General features: G+C 45.0%; 1 protein-coding gene across 6 annotated transcripts in view, besides 1 other annotated feature; it reads left to right on the top strand.

Annotated features, from left to right (window-relative positions):
- The window catches only part of LARS2 (leucyl-tRNA synthetase 2, mitochondrial), a 160,832-nt gene that overhangs the window by 120,970 nt on the left and 23,486 nt on the right, over positions 1-16,376 (top strand). For all 6 annotated transcript variants that reach the window (NM_015340.4, XM_017006042.2, NM_001368263.1 and 3 more), the window contains 5 exons: positions 3,590-3,690; positions 6,549-6,731; positions 8,358-8,527; positions 10,674-10,751; positions 14,452-14,563. In NM_015340.4, the coding sequence (NP_056155.1) occupies positions 3,590-3,690; positions 6,549-6,731; positions 8,358-8,527; positions 10,674-10,751; positions 14,452-14,563 (644 nt within the window). The remainder of the gene's footprint in view (positions 1-3,589; positions 3,691-6,548; positions 6,732-8,357; positions 8,528-10,673; positions 10,752-14,451; positions 14,564-16,376) is intronic.
- Positions 72-366: a silencer, noted in NCBI's record as "tiled region #486; K562 Repressive non-DNase unmatched - State 15:Elon". NCBI's record gives its function as "represses a minimal TATA promoter and a strong SV40 promoter by Sharpr-MPRA in K562 cells {active_cell/tissue: K562}" and the evidence as "EXISTENCE:reporter gene assay evidence [ECO:0000049][PMID:27701403]".

Raw genomic sequence — 16,376 nt, forward strand, 5'->3', positions numbered from 1 at the left:
GCCTGTTCTTATTGTAAGCTCTCCAATTAATTGCCTAGTGCTGTGTACCCAATTATCATGTAAATACATGTTGAATGAATAAACAAGTGTGACTCATTCAGAGCTAAACTACGCATGAGAGTAGACATGGCCAGCTTCAGCCAAGAGTGAAAACCAGATTCCCAACTCCCTATAGCCCATTCCCTGGCTCCCTGGAAAAGTGGAGGGAAAACACTTGGGAATGAGCAGGATTCTAGGAGCTGGGAAGCGCCCCTTTCCCCACTGGGAAATTCCATGTGAGCACTCATCGGGGCATTCCCCTGCTCTCATTCTCTTGCTTCAGCTGCTTGGGATCTTTCAATGCACCCCTCCCTGCAAAAAGATGGTGGCACTAGCTGGAAAGTATAGCATCCAGTGCCCCACTTCACTCATTTCTTTCTTCCCTCCTCTCTTGCCTCCACTTTGTCCTACTCACATTATCCCCCACCCCTGCTGCTGGTAGGTTTATTCATCCACTGAAACAAGCTTGATTGAGTTCAAGGCAATTAACATTACTGAGCATCTGTTAGGAACTGGAGACTGAGAGTGGCCTTTAAGGATTTTCAAGGCCAGGAGCAGTGGCTCATGCCTGTAATCCCAGCATTTTGGGAGGCCGAGGCAGGAGGATTGCTTGAGCTCAGGAGTTCAAGACCAGCCTGGGCAACATAGTGAGACTTCATCTCTACCAAAAATACAAAAAATTAGCTGGGTGTGGTAGTGCGCGCCTGTGGTCCCAGCTGCTTGCAGGGGTAAGGTGGGAATATCACTTGAGCCCAGGAGACTGAGGCTGCAGTGAGCTGTGATTGTGCCACTGCACCCCAGCCTGGGTGACAGAACAAGACCCTGTCTCAAAAAAAAATCATCCTCCTACTCCTCACAGGAGAAAGACAGGCAAGCAGCTTACCTAAATACACAATAAAATGTAATAGCTGCTAGATACAATTACAGGCACTACACAGGATGCATCAGGAAGGAAAAAACAACTAATTCTAATTCTGACCAGGAGATACCTTCTCAGTGGAGATGGCATTTGAGTTGAGCCAGGAAGGAGGACTAGAGTTTTGATAACAGTTTGGGAAATGGCGTGAGTAAAGACGTGGAAGCACATGCAGGCAACATTTGAAAGAGCAGAGGGAGTGGCAGGGGACAGGGAGAAGTCCTGGATGGCTATGCGGAGGAATTTGGACTTGATTGGGAGGAGGAGCTCTTCAAATATGACTGCACTCTTTCTTTTCCTCCCTCACAGCTCTGAGAGTTGTCAGGCATTGGTTTGGTTCAGTGATCGTAAACAGGCTGGCTCCCCAAGGGCAGAGATTGCTTTGCCCAACATTATATCCCCAGTGCCTAGCTCAGTGCCAGGCACATAGCAAGCACTCAAGAAATACCAAAGAAATAAGTGATACATTTCACATAATAACTCTGTGCTTTCTGATTATATGGTACGAAGAAGAATTCAGAGACTCGTTCTGAGCACCAGGAGTGCTGCTGTCGATGAATGGTGTCTGGGTGGTTGTAGGCAAGGGCACTGGGGATAGTTGGCTAGGTTTTGCCATCCCTGCTCTAGATGATCCATCTGAGATGGCCCCTGCTGCACTGCAACCCTCAGAGAAGACAGTCCAGAAGAGCTTCAACTGTCAAGTTTCATTGTTGGAAGCTTTCAGACATTAGGATATATTCATGTAACTAGCAGGTCTTGGTGTGGGTGCACTGCTGAGGACCTGCCTGCCAGTTCTGGGGAAAGCCTCCCATGTGGACATCCCCTGAGAGCTCTCACTAAGAAATGGCTACAAGCGGGTTAGAAACAGGCAGATGAAATAATAGTGTTAGCAGTCAGGCTATAGGGGCCCATAGTGAGGAGACAGTGCCTAGAAGCGGATGGAAGGTTGATTTCACGTTCTGCTAATTGGGCTGAATGCCAGTTACACAAGTGTGTTTTATATTGTGAAGATTCATCATTATACCGCTAGGACTTACACTTTTCAATATGTGTGCTATACCTCAACAGTTTACCTTAAAAAAAAAAAAGTTATAAAAGACGAGGCAAAAGTTGCAGCCTTAGGCTGAACAGCTGGGGTTAGTCAGTTTTTCGCAGGTTGCAATTCTGTCCGTTCTCGGAAGGTGGCAGTGTTGTGCCACTTGATAAAATACAAGACCTAAGAATAGGATTCCTTGGATTCCCAGCCCCTTCTTGAGGCTTAATGCTGCTGATTTTTTTTTTTTTTTTTTTTTTTGGAGACAGAGTCTCGCTCTGTCTCCCAGGCTGGGGTGCAGTGGCGTGATCTCGGCCCACTGCAACCTCCGCTTCCTGGGCTCAAGCAACCCCTGCCTCAGCCTCCCAAGCAGCGGGGACTACAGGTGCGCGCCCCCACACCTGGCCAACTTTTTGTATTTTAGTAGAGACGGGGTTTCACCATGTTGCCCAGGCCAGTCTCAAACTTTGAGCTCAGGCAATCCACCTGCCTCGGCCTCCCAAAGCGCTAGGATTACAAGCGTGAGCCACCGCGCCTGGCCAATGCTGCTGATTTTGATCATCCTACCTATCTTTATCTTTGAATCCAGATCATTCTCTCCTAACTTTTGCCCTAAAAACACCTTTAAAAATTTACCTTGAGCAACCAAAGCCATGTACTGGTGATGTTTGTGGGGAACATCACTGGATCTCCAGGAAATGAGTGCTCCTACCTGATACCCTGAACACGAAATACTTAACGTGTGTTATCAGCAGATATCGCCATGAATCATTCTTTGAGTTTGGAATAGGTCTTGCTGAAATGCCTCAAAATTGAATCAGGCAGATTCTTAAGAATAAACAACTGCAAATTTGCAATAATTTCAGTATGAAGGTCAACCTGTTCTTATCCTCTTATGAGAAAAAGTTTATATGTCACTATTTACCCAGTAAGGGTATAACTAAAACTACTTTTTAAAACAGGTACTATAAATAAGTTATAATCAATTCATATTTCAGAACACTAGGTAACTTTTTAAAAAGTGAGATAGATCTATATGAACTGCCATGGAGAAATCCATTCATATCATTAAGTGAAATACCATAAAGTATACATAAGGTATAATCCCACTTATATAAATCCCCAAAAATCTATAAAAACCATATGTGGATAGGTACACATTTATGTATACAAAGGCATTGAAAAATGTCTCCAGACTTTTCCAGGGATATATACCAAACTATTAATAAGAACTGCCTCCTGAAAGGGACATAGGCCTAGAAAGGAGTGGTAGTGTTTGGATTTGAACAGAAGGTTTATAGTCATATATGACTTGTATGGTTTAAAACTTTTTTTAGGCCAGGTGGGGTGGCTCACACCTGTAATCCCAGTACTTTGGGGGGCCGAGGCAGGTGGATCACGCCCAGCCTGAATTTATTTTCTTATCACTTATTTCTAAGGAGCCATTTGTTTAAGCTGGGTTTATAAGTGGCCTTGGTCAGCCCGCCTGCTTTTATGAGGGGCAGCTACTTCTGCCCATCCGAGGGAAGGTCTGCGTTGCTGTTTTCTCAATGCCTCATGTCCCACTCCTCCTGTTTTCTTTTCCTGTCATCTTTCCTCAGGGAGCCTTTTCATAAGCTGCTGGCCCAAGGCCTTATCAAGGGGCAGACATTCCGCCTACCATCTGGACAGTATCTACAGAGAGAGGAAGTGGATCTCACAGGTAAGAATGGCCCATCTGGTCCCATCCAGGTACTCCCAGAGAGCCAAGGCCAGGCCTGAGAGCTACTGAGCAAGCAGGCATCTGCCTCTAGAGTGGGGAGGATGCAGGAGAGAGACCCGCTGGCTGTGAGGTCTCTAAGCCTCAGCTCCCTCTGGGCCTGCGCCCCCTGAAGCCTGGTCCTGGACTGGCCGTCTGCTCCTCTGCTGCAGCCCCCTTCAGCCAAAGTGCCACCTCAGCTTCTGGCAGGGTTTTCATTTGTATGTAACAGAGTCAACTCAGGCATGACCTCCTATCCCAGACCATCTTTGAAAGCCCACCTCAGGGATAGAGCCCCCAGGCCCAAGACACATTCTTCCAGAACTGGGGTACTCCCAGTGTTTCTCCCAACATGTTCTAGTGGCACATTTCAGAACCTTGGGGGGCAGCACTCGGTTTACTCGTAGCACCCCAGAGCAGCCCCCTCTTAGCATTTCCCAGTAAAACACCTCCCCCTGATTCCCCGAACTTCCCTCCTGTCCCAGCTCTCCCAAGCCTTTTCCTTCCACTCTGCATTTTCACCCTTTACCCTTTACATTTCACCCTTCATTTTCACCCTGAGGATCACAAGATCTTCAGGTGCCATGGTGAGGATGTATCACGTGCACCCAGCACACACGTGGAATATATGACATGTTAGAAAATGGGTAGGGGCAAGGTGTGGTAGCTCACGCCTGTAATCCCAGCACTTTGGGAGGCCAAGGCAGGTGGATCACCTGAGGTCAGGAGTTCAAGACCATCCTGGCCAACATGGTGAAACCCCGTCTCTACTAAAAATACAAAAATGAGCCAGGCGTGGAGGCATGCACCTGTAATCCCAGCTACTCAGGAGGCTGAGGCAGGAGAATCACTTGAACCCAGGAGGTGGAGGTTGCAGTGAGCCAAGATCATGCCACTGCACTCCAGCCTGGGCAACAGAGCAAGACTCTGTCTCAAAAAAAAAAAAGAAAGAAAGAAAACAGTTGGAGACATGCAGTATACATAGGGACAGCTGTGAGAAACCCCCAGCACTGTGACCATTACATTTAGAAAAACTAGTGCATAATGGATGAGATTAGGTCACACGACAACCCTGTAAATGGTAGGCAGCCTCTCCAGCCAAACATTAGAGACAGGGTTTAGGGAAGCAGTCGATGCAATTACCTCATCAAAGCAAAATATATCAAGGTTTATAACGGTCCGTGGGAGAAAAAGAAGCTGGAGAAGCAGAACTGGCAGTGTCTCTCCAGCATGGATGACAGAGGGAAAGAGCTAAATTCAGGTGCACATAGAATTCAGCCTCACAGTTAGTGAAGTGTTCTCTGTAACAGGCAAGGCTGCCCATGTATAGCTGTGCAGTTTGTGCGCTACACAAAAGAACCAAGCCAAGGCTGTGATTTCAGTAGGGCCTGAAATGCAGCCGTTTCTCAAGCCATACATTTCAGGGCAACATCTGCCAAACGAGGGTGACTTTTTCTAACTTCTCAACTTTTCTGCCCAGAAAGATACATTTTTTCCTAATTTGCATAACAGTGTTTTAAGGTCTAGACACAGCCTGGGGCAGGGTAAAGGGGCCAGTGGTTCCCTGAGTCTCACCACAGCGTGGATAAACATCTAGGACTTCAGTCTCCCCTTCTCTGCTGTCATGGGGTCAGGCAGTATTGTGAACATCTTTTCCCTTCCCACGTAGTCTTGCCTACTGGGTGAGAATACTTTGATCAGCAAGGGCAGGTTTCTGTCTCCTTCATGGATGTAACTCTCATGAAGTATGGAGTTGGCTTTTAGGTCTGTACATCGGTCCCCTGTTAGCTTGGTTGCTGTTGGAATCAGAGATTATTTGGCTGGAAGGAAAAGAAATCCACCCAAACCCAGTTGCAGAAAATAGAGCTAGGCCCCACTGCTCATAGGAAGTCACCAGCCACTCCTTTTTTCTTCTCTCTTTCTCAGCTCTCTCGTTCTTAGTTCTTCTTCCTGCTTCTCTCTGTTCTTCTGCCCTGTTCTCCTTCATCTGCCAGACTTGGATTCTCCTCTCCCCAATTTCAATTTACCAAGTGACCTTGGGTAGCTGCAGTGGCAAGTCTTGCCCCATCTCCTTAGGACCTGATGGTCCCAGTGCTCAGCAACATGGAAACTGAGTTTCTGTATCTCTTAGCTCCAATTTGTGAGATAGAGGCTTAGCCTTGCCAGGTGCTCTTACTAGTCCTCTCCAGTAGGGCTTGGCAACAAGGTCACCTCATCCAAATGCGGCCATTTAAGACCCCTTCCATCAGCACCATCTAGACCAGTGGTATGTGAGTAGGGGAGGAGACAGTTCCAAAGAATAGGGTGTGGGTGGCTGGCACCACAAAGGGACCAACACATTTACCATGAGCCCGGTAAGTGAATTCCATGTGCCCTGAGAGTATGAGATCATGTTTTGGTGACTGCAACATGGATGGGACAGGTCAGGCTGCCAACTTCCATAAGAGACCCTTAATTCATCAAGAAAATGGCAACGTGTGCGAGTTTTTCAAAATTCTTTTTTACTTTCCTTTTTTGTGTATAAATAATTCACTTGTAAAGGGGGAAATTGTTTTGTTTTATAGAAAAAGCTGGCACAGGCCATTATAACTGTCCTGTTTATTCGCGAAGGTTTGTGGGAGGAAGGTGGGCCTCATTCATTTAAAAATAAAAATATTTTTATAACAATACAGAGGGAGAGAAAGCGGCTTGTTAAGTGAATTAGTGTGATTCTTCAAATGGACACTTTCCATCGCTCACCCAGTTTTTACTTATTGATGCTATTTCTATAGAAGCAATTCACAATGACACATACCATACCTATGGATTATTTTGGCATCTAGGTTCCGTTCCTGTTCATGCAAAAACGAAAGAGAAGTTAGAGGTGACGTGGGAGAAGATGAGTAAGTCCAAACACAACGGGGTGGACCCAGAGGAAGTTGTGGAGCAGTATGGGATCGACACGATTCGGCTCTACATCCTTTTTGCTGCCCCTCCTGAGAAGGATATCTTGTGGGATGTGAAAAGTAAGTCACCTTCCTCTTCCTGACTTGCTTCCTTTGTGATCTGCCCTGGACTTTGAAGGAGTTTGAGGAAGGAAATGTCTTTGCTGAAGACAGTGGTAGAGAATTCTAGGAATCAGTTCCATAGAGCAAGTAGCAGCTTGACCAGCATCCTGCACCACTCTTAGACGGGTGTTGACAAACATAAGCGAGCCTCAGAATCATTTGGGAAACATGTTGCAGATGCAGATTCCAGTGCTCCGCCCATGCCTGCTGACACAGCCTCCAGAATGGGGCTCAGGAGGTGGCCTTTGAACAAGCTCAGCGGTGATTCCAGTGCACACTCTACGAGGACCATGCTTTGAGAGTGGTTTCCTTGGAGACAGACTGGCTTCTGAGCTACTCCTAGGCCTGCTATAGTCCAAAGAGGCCAGTTCCCTCTTTCTTGATGTACCCTGCAAGGTTTTTTCTAGAACAGTGTCATTCTCCCTCACCAATCCAGAAAGCCCCGGGAGGGGTCTGGGCCTGTTGTTACCTATGGCCTCTTAGTCACCCACAGCACCCTTCATCTCCCCACTTAGGGGAGATTTGTCTCTCCAGAGTTGTTTAGTACTAAAATGACATGAAGTAAAATAATCTTGAGTATCTGGCTATTCTAGAATAAACCCGTCCAACAGTCATTCATTTTTACTTCATGTGATCAGCCCTAAGTGTTGTTGTGGGAAGAGGAAGTCAGATGCCTGGAAACTTGAGCCTTGTGTGAAGTATCCATGTCATTTGAGAAATCACTGTTTATTTTGATTTCCAACTAGCTGTGGCTAGTGGGAAGTGTGGTCTGGAACAGTGGTCACAGATGCCAGTCCTAGAACTAGCTGCCTCAGAATCACTGGGGGGCTTGCAAAGCACAGACAGGTGGAGGTTCTGGCTCCCACCCCTAACCCAGGGGACAGGCTCCAGGAATCTTTCTAAGAAGCCTCCCAGAAGGTTCTGCTGTGCATTCAGGCTTGAGAATGCCTAGCCTAGTGGCCAGACAGTACAAGGACCTGGACTGACCCTAATTTGGCTACTGGTATAACCCAGGGCCACCAGGTAAAGCCATTCAGCTTTACCAGAAGATCAGACCAGCAGCTGGATTGGATGAGCTTGTGTAAAATATGGAAAACACACATACCTGCAAGGACAGGGATTGTGCCAATGCACTTCACACTCTACAGCAGTGTGGCTGCAAGCACAGTCATGCTATCCACAAGGTAAGAGCTTGCACCAGCAGGAGTCAGCACTGTCTCCAAAGCACCATGTTAACTCCATGGCATTTTTGTCCCAGCAAGCTTGCTTAATCAAGGCGGCGGGGCACCAGGGCTCATCTTGACCAAGCTTCTGAGCTCATGACCGTTGGTGGGTGGCACTTTGAGTGGCCCTGCCATCCAGTGCTCTGAATCTGGGCACTAAAATGAGATAGAATTGGTCCTGGTCTGAATTCTCAGACACTGAAGGCCAGGGAGGATCCTTCAGCCTGCCCTCAGAGGAATCCATCAGGGTGCAGTGAAGTGTCACATCAATTCACAGGTGTTTTTCTCTGCTTAGTTATACCAAGTCAATCACCCTTATGTTGCACGCTCTCTCTTTCTCATTTACTGATGCTGAATTCAGCTGATGCTCTCCCTGGGGTGCTGAGATGGCAACAACGACTGTGGACCTTGACAACTCGGTTTATTGAGGCCAGGGCTTCTGGGAAGTCTCCCCAGCCTCAGCTGCTGAGTAACAAGGAGAAAGCTGAGGCCAGGAAGCTCTGGGAGTACAAGAACTCCGTCATCTCTCAGGTCAGAAACTCTCCAATTCCAGGGGTTAACTCTGTAACCAAGCACTCTTTGGGAACCTTTGCCTGTGGTCTTTGCTGCCCTCCCTGCCTTGGGTTGGGCCACTGTGGGTCTTCCTTCCTGGCAATGGCGGTCCTTCTTGCTTTGATTGATTGGCCCTACTGTTTTGGGTACTTTACCAAGGTGGATCAACAGTGCATATGTTCTAATGGAAAGAGATGCCCCCAGGAAATGGCTCTCTGATGATGTCTCACATTTGTCCATCCTGGGTCTCAGGAAGCTGCCACTTTCCATGTTTCCACATTTAACACATCCAAGCAGAGAACCAAATCCAGGATCACCCTGTCATCCAGGATGACACCGCATATGTTACATTAACAGAAATACAATTTTAGAGTTGGAAGGGGCATTAAGAAACTATCCTCTGTAGCCTCCTCATTGTACAGATGGGGACAGAGATGATGTCCAGATATCTTGCCTAACGTCACACGGCTAGTGAGGAACTGAGCAGAGATTAGAATCCCAGTCCTCCACATAGTGAGGACTTTCCCACTCAGTTACTTTGTTACACAATATCCATGTGAACTATTGTGGGTTAATTTCTGCAAATCTGAAGTCATTGTAATGGGTATCTGATATCCCAAATTCTTCTTAAGCTGATTTAAAAAAAAAAAAGTTATGCTGATTCAGACATAAAGTTAATCAGTGTCGCTCATCTGCACTCTGATAATGAACACAATGATGCATGGCAGGTTTTTGCCTCTCTGGTTTGTATAACCTGAAGTGGCCCTGGGTCCAGCATGGTCTTATTTGTTGACACTTCTTCAGCTTTATTTCTGGCCTCTGTACCCTCTCTATGTGGAGGAACAGAGCTCCCTGAATGAATGTAGGGGTCTGAGTGATGCCTGAGCGATTGAGTTCATACCACATATTTTCTCCCTGGATTTGGCAAATTCTTCTATTCTGTCAGATAAAAGAATTAGGTTATTTCAACAAGTTGGAAACTCTTGACATCCTTAAAGATGTGTTACTTTTCTGTATTCTTGCCTATAGTCAAAATGGAAAAGCACAGAAACATGAAAAAGCTGACAAGCTGTGTTAATGTTCTTATGTTGACTGTACATTTCAAAATGTAAAATTGACAAGGCGCAGTGGCTCACACCTATAATCCCAGCACTTTGGGAGGCCAAGGCGGGCAGATCACAAGATCAAGAGATTGAGACCATCCTGGCTAACATGGTGAAACCCCGTTTCTACTAAAAACACAAAAAATTAGCCTGGCGTGGTGGCACGCGCCTGTAATCCCAGCTACTCGGGAGGCTGAAGCAGGAGAATCACTTGAACCTGGGAGGCAGAGGTTGCAGTGAGCTGAGATCGCACCACTGCACTCCAACTTGGGTGACAAAGCGAGTCTCCGTCTCAAAAAAAAAAAAAAAAGTAAAATTAACCTTATCCCATATTCTAAAAACCGTCACTGTGAAGCAAAGTCACATAACCAAGCAGAAGTGGCATCCTTTATTCCTGTTTTCTGTTATGTTGAGTTTACCCATCAGTGGGTCCTGCGTCCTATTCATGTTACTAGCATTGCTTTTTTTTTTGACAAAGTCTCACTCTGTTGCCCAGGCTGGAGTGCAATGGCGCAATCTCAGCTCACTGCAGGCTCCACCTCCCAGGTTCAAGAGATTCTCCTGCCTCAGCCTCCCAAGTAGCTGGGATTACAGGTATGCGCCACCACACCCGGCTAATTTTTTGTATTTTTGTAGAAATGGGGTTTTGCCACATTGGCCAGGCTGGTCTCGAACTCTTGACCTCAAGTAATCCACCCACCTCGGCCTTCCAAAGTGCTAGGATTACAGGTGTGAGCCACTGTGCCCAGCCACTAGCACTGTTTTTCTAAGCACCTACTATGAGAACCAACAGTATCCCAGATATGTGGAAGAATAGTCTTAAACAGTGGAAACAGTGTTGACTTTGAATTTTAAAATATTTGTGTAGATGAAACATAGCGATTATTTGAGATAGTAGATATATTTATAAATATCTTTGCATCCCATTCATTTTCCTTTTTTTTTGTTTTGATAATTCAGTCTTTTTGTGGAAAGCTTAAAAGAATTTTGAAATAAGTAAATAATTGAACCTTTACTAATAGGTGACCACCCATTTCACAGAGGACTTCTCACTGAATTCTGCAATTTCTCAGCTGATGGGACTCAGCAATGCCCTCTCGGTAAGTGGCCTGTCCTCATTTGCTGGTAGCAGAGGAGGGAGGGAGAGGTGTGGCAAGGGGCCCCACAGGGTCCCAAGAGGGACAGAGAGCACCCCCACTGTGTCACCGCCTCAGTGTGGCTTGATTATCTTAAGGAAACATTTTTCCATAGTCACAACCTAGTTTTATGCTGGAATGTTCTTAAAGATTTTCTGGTCCAAACCCCCTTCTCCCCCAATATTTTACAGATGAGGACATTGAGGCCCAGGGAAGTTAGATGACATGTCTGGTTGATTAGTGACAAATCTAGGACCAGACTCAGGCCTCCCTGTCTTCTGGCTCTTTGCACCCCCGCTGTCTGATTTCATGAATGAATTGTGATACCTCCTCGGCATCATTACATTTGATATTCATTTAACCTGGATGGATCAGGATCGTTCTCACCAATGCCAAAAGTCAGCCTTTTCAGTATGGACTTCCTTCTTGCTAAGTGTGACTACCATTTTTCTTGCCAGGGAAAGGATTTGTCAACAAATGTTCTTAGCTACTGGACAACAAAAGCATTCATTAAAGCTATTAACAAATGCTTTTTAAAAATGAAGTCCTCTCCAAGCTTTTAAGATCAGTGGGGGCCAGGCACAGTGGCTCATGCCTGTAATCTCAACGCTTTGGAAGACCAAGCTGAGAGGATCACTTGAGGCCAGGAGTTCAAGACCTGCCTGGGCCGCGTAGAAAATAAAATAATTAGGCCAGGCATGGTGGCTCACACCTGTAATCCCAGCACTTTGGGAGGCTGAGGCAGGCGGATCACGAGGTCAGGAGATCAAGACCATCCTGGCTAACACAGTGAAACCCCATCTCTACTAAAAAATACAAAAAATTAGCCAGGCGTGGTGGCAGGCACCAGTAGTCCCAGCTACTCAGGAGGCTGAGGCAGGAGAATGGTGTGAACCCAGGTGGCGGAGCATGCAGTGAGCCAAGATCACGCCACTGCACTTCAGCCTGGGCGACAAAGCAAGACTCCGCCTCAAAAACAAAGTAAAAAAATAAAATAATTAGCCTGGCATGGTGGCATACAGCTGTAGCTGTAGCTACTCGGGAAGCTGAGGCGAGAGGATCGCTTGAACCCATCCTGGGCAACAGAGCAGGAGACTCTGTCTCTAAAAATAAAATTAAAAGGGTAATTTTTAAAAAGTAAAATAAAGATAAAAAAGAACAATGGAAGAAATTTCAAATTTGACTACATAAAACTTGACATTTTCAGTATGTTAAAAAAATTTATAACATGTCAGACAGAAGGTTAATATCCTTGTAAAGCACTCTTACATATTAATATGAAAATACCTAACCAAAAATGGTCAAAGCATATGAAAAGATAATAACTCATAGAAAATGTTATAGAAATAGCCAATACATTTGTGGAGAAAAAAAAGTCTGCCTCTCTAATTATCATGAAAGGCAAATTTAAAACAAGATGCTTTTGTTTTTGTTTTTGTTTTTTTTTAAATACCTGTCAAATTTGCTGAGAATACTTTAACGTAACTATTCAGGGCCAGGCACAGTGGCTCATGCCTGTAATTCCAGCACTTTGGGAGGCCGAGGCAGCAGGATCGATTGAGCTCAGGAGTTTGAGACCAGCCTGGGCAACATAACAAGACTTCATCTGTAAAAAATTTAAAAATTAGCCAAGTGTGGTGGCATGCACCTGTAGTTCTAGCTACTCAGGAGGCTGAGGCGGGAGGATCCCTTGAGCCCAGGAATTTGAGGTTGCAGTGAGCTGTTTGGTGCCACTGTACTCTAGCCTGGGTGACAAAGCGAGACTCTCTCTCAAAAAAATAAAAATAAAGGCATAATTATTCCCCATGCTATTGCAAAGATGGCAGAATAGACTTTTACACGCCAGTGATAGGTGTGGTTGGTGTAACCTTGCCAGGAAGCACTTCGGCTATCAGGTTGATTGTGTTATATCCTCTGATCCAGGAGTGTTCACTGCAGATAATTTATAATCACAGAGACTCGGAACCCCAGTGTCCTCTGATGGGGGAATTGTGAAATGACTTATGTCATATCAATAAGAAAGGAATGTGCCACCACCATTAACCTCATGTCTTGAAGAATACTTAATATCAGAAACTGTTTATGATATAATGTTAAGTAAAAACACATGACACAAGGCCAGGCACAGTGGCTCACGCCTGTAATCCCAGCACTGCGGGAGGTCAAGGCAGATAGATCGCTTGAGGTCAGGAGTTCAACACCAACCTGCTCAACATGGTGAAACCCTGTCTCTACTAAAAATACAAAAAATCAGCCAGGGTGTGGTGGTGCACACCTGTGCACCTGTAGTCCCAGGCACTCAGGAGGCTGAGGCAGGAGGATTGCTTAAACCTGTAGGCAGAGGTTGCAGTGAGCTGAGATCACACCACTGCACTCCAGCCTGGGCAACAGAGAGAGACTCTGTCTCAAAAAAAAAAGATACAAAAGTGTTCATATGAGCTGGGTGCAGTGGTTCACACATGTAATCCTAGCATTTTGGGAGGCCAGGGCAGGCAGATGGCTTGAGCCCAGGATTTCGAGACCAGCCTGAGCAATATAGTGAGATACCCCATCTCTATTTAAAAAAAAAATTAATTTTTAAAATTAAAAAAAAGGAAGTGTTCATATGGCAAGAATACCAATCCTGAAAATGTTACATGTGTAATAAGCATTTATATACACATTTTTGCATTTTTGGAGACAAGGATAAAATATACCTTTTTTTCTAGGTTGTATAATTATGAGTAGTTTTTCATTTCCTGTATATTCTGTGCTGAGTGTGTGTTAGTTTTTTAATCAGAAAAAATAAAGCAAGACACTGAAATGAAACTGTAATGAATTTCTGTCTTTCCATTCCGGAATTTGGGAAGTCCTTAATAATAACACACAGAGCTAAACACAACTATGTTTGCCGGAATTGACCAAAGGTATTTCAGAGAATAGGGGTCCCTAAGTAGGGTATAGAGGCCCCCCTGCCCTAGGTGTTTCACAGTTTAACACCTTTGAGCAGGTCTCAGTGCATTTCTCTGTGGACCTGCAGCACAGAGGAAACCTAGCAGAGTGGGTAAGAGTTTGGCTACAGTGTGCCTGGGGGCAGATTGCCCTCCCTTGCTGATCCTTAGCTGCTTCATCTGTCCAATGGGGTAAGAATACCACCCTCAAAGAGTGGTGAGGACTAAATAAGTTAACATCATGTATTTGTTGTTGCTGCTGCTGGAGCTTTTTTTTTTTTTTAAAGATAGGGTCTCACTGTTGCCCAAGCTTCAGTGCAGTGGTGCAGTCATAGCTCACTGCAGCCTTGACCTCCTGGTCTTAAGTGATCCTCCCACTTCAGCCTCCTAAGTAACTGGGACTATAGGTGTGTGCAACTGTGCCTGGCTAATTTTTTTTTATTTTTTAATTTTTCATAGAGATGAGGTCTCACTATAGTGCCCAGGCTGGTCTCAAATTCTTGGCCTCCCAAAGTAGTGGGAGTATAAGTGTCAGCTACCACACCTGGCTTGCTGTAGTTTATCTCAGTGCTATCATTAAGTAGGGGAAGTTCATTGTCCCAAGCAGAAATGGATGGCAAAGGGGGTTTCTTCCTACCAGCTTGTGTCTCTGGACTTCAGATACATTAATGGTCTTTCTTACCCGTGCTTATTTTTACACCTCAGTCTTCTTACTTTTTTTTCCTCTTCCTTAGCAAGCCTCTCAGAGCGTCATTCTCCACAGCCCCGAGTTTGAGGATGCTTTGTGTGCCCTGATGGTAATGGCTGCTCCACTGGCCCCTCATGTAACCTCAGAGATCTGGGCAGGTACGTGGCAGAGTCCTTTTTTGACCAGTTACTACTAACTAGAATTTGTCGAAGCCTCTTTTTGAACATCATTCGGGACTCAGATGTCCTCAGATATAGGGTCCAACATTTGGCATCTATACTCAGCAACCTCTCTGTCCTGTACTCTGAATGGTAGTACTTCATCCACATGGTCACCCCTACCAAAAGGAAAGACACTTCCCTGCTTTGAATAATGTGCCCAGACTAATGTGGGTGTTGATGTTACCATCTTAATCCCTTCTCGTGACTCAGCCCCCCAGTATCCACATATTATGACCTGCGTGGTCTTTTTAAGATAAAAACTCATGTTTAATACCACTGTACAGGTGGAAATTAAGTTATAGGTCTAAACTTACACTGTAATTCAGCACTCTTCACCAATTATTCCTAATCTAGGCATCAAAGCAGGCCTGACTGCCTGCTTGAATTTCAGCCCCTAGAACCCTCCACATCATTGGGACTGTTAGCCTGGACAAAACCAGGACTTCACATAATCATCGAACTGGGATTAGGCCAAGCATATAGGGAGGGGCAAAGTGACATGTAATTGAGCTCCTGAAAGATCATGCATGCATGGGAAAGTCTTCAGATGTTTCTAGAAATAGGTCATCTGAAATGCATGTGACTTGGCAGTTTCGTTGACGTAAAAGATTTCTTCTAAAAAAAAGATCTCTCCTAATTAAATTTACTGATGTGGTGTCACAGAGAAGAAATGCATGTTGTTTAGTTGAGCAAACCACGAGTCTCAGTGTAAGCTTGAGTGATAAGAAGAATTTGAGGATTATTTGAAATTCCCACCACCCAAGCAACTTTATGCCTACAGGAAATAGGTGGAAATTACAGTAGGATTTATAGTTGACAGAGTATTGCCTGTGTCTCTCACAAAGCCTTGTTTATTGCCTTCTACTTTAAAACATAGTACTCCTTGTTGATTTGAGGGACTCATTGGGAATTGGGCCCTACCATCTCCCTCAGAGTTGCTTCTTAATTCCTCAGGAGGAGCAGTGGTTCCTTTTTCTTTTTAGCTAAGATGAGACTTATTTTTCCAGGGTCCCCTTTTTTACAGTATAAGTGTCTCTGTCAAAAGGAAGTGTTTTTCATTCCTTGAGGAAAAGCGAATCTGTTTTATTTCGCTTTCATTGTAAACCCATGAGCTTAGTTTGGATTTTTATCCTTTTTGATATCTAAAGCCACTTTAAAATTAAACTTGTTCAGCCAAATATTGAAGTTCACGTAGTGGGAGGATTTGCCAGCCAGTTTTTTGTTTATGTACCATATCTACAGTTTCTGACTTTAAGCATCAACCAAAAAAGTGGAAAGGGCTTTGGAAATCAGGAACTAATCCTAAAACCTGGGTAAGGATTTGGATGGGTCTGACTCTGAAGTTTCCTTTGGTTCATTCTTTGCTGCTTGCAAGACTGAATCAAGGTCCAGTTTACTTTAGCAGGAAAGAGATGTGGTGTAGCTCCCAACAGATTCTGCCCTACTTTATATGCTTTAAGACATCCTGATTGAGTACAAGTGTATTTCATTGTGTCTTAAGTCATCTTCTGGGTCTTTCCAGTTACTCTTTTAGTTACCCTTTTTAAACCAAGCTTTTGCAACTCCTGGCCCCCTCCAACAGGTGGCTTAGTTGGAAGAAGTCAGAGAGGCCTGGGTTGAGTGTACCCAAGATAAGTCTGAATTCTATATTAATTCCTGTCTTTCCATTCTGGAATTCGGGAAGTCCTTAATAATAGCATGCAGAGCTAAACACAACCACATAGCTTAAATACTAGCTACCAGTCAGTGT

The sequence above is a fragment of the Homo sapiens genome, chromosome 3, assembly GCF_000001405.40.
Source record: "Homo sapiens chromosome 3, GRCh38.p14 Primary Assembly".
Taxonomy (NCBI): Eukaryota; Metazoa; Chordata; class Mammalia; order Primates; family Hominidae; genus Homo; species Homo sapiens.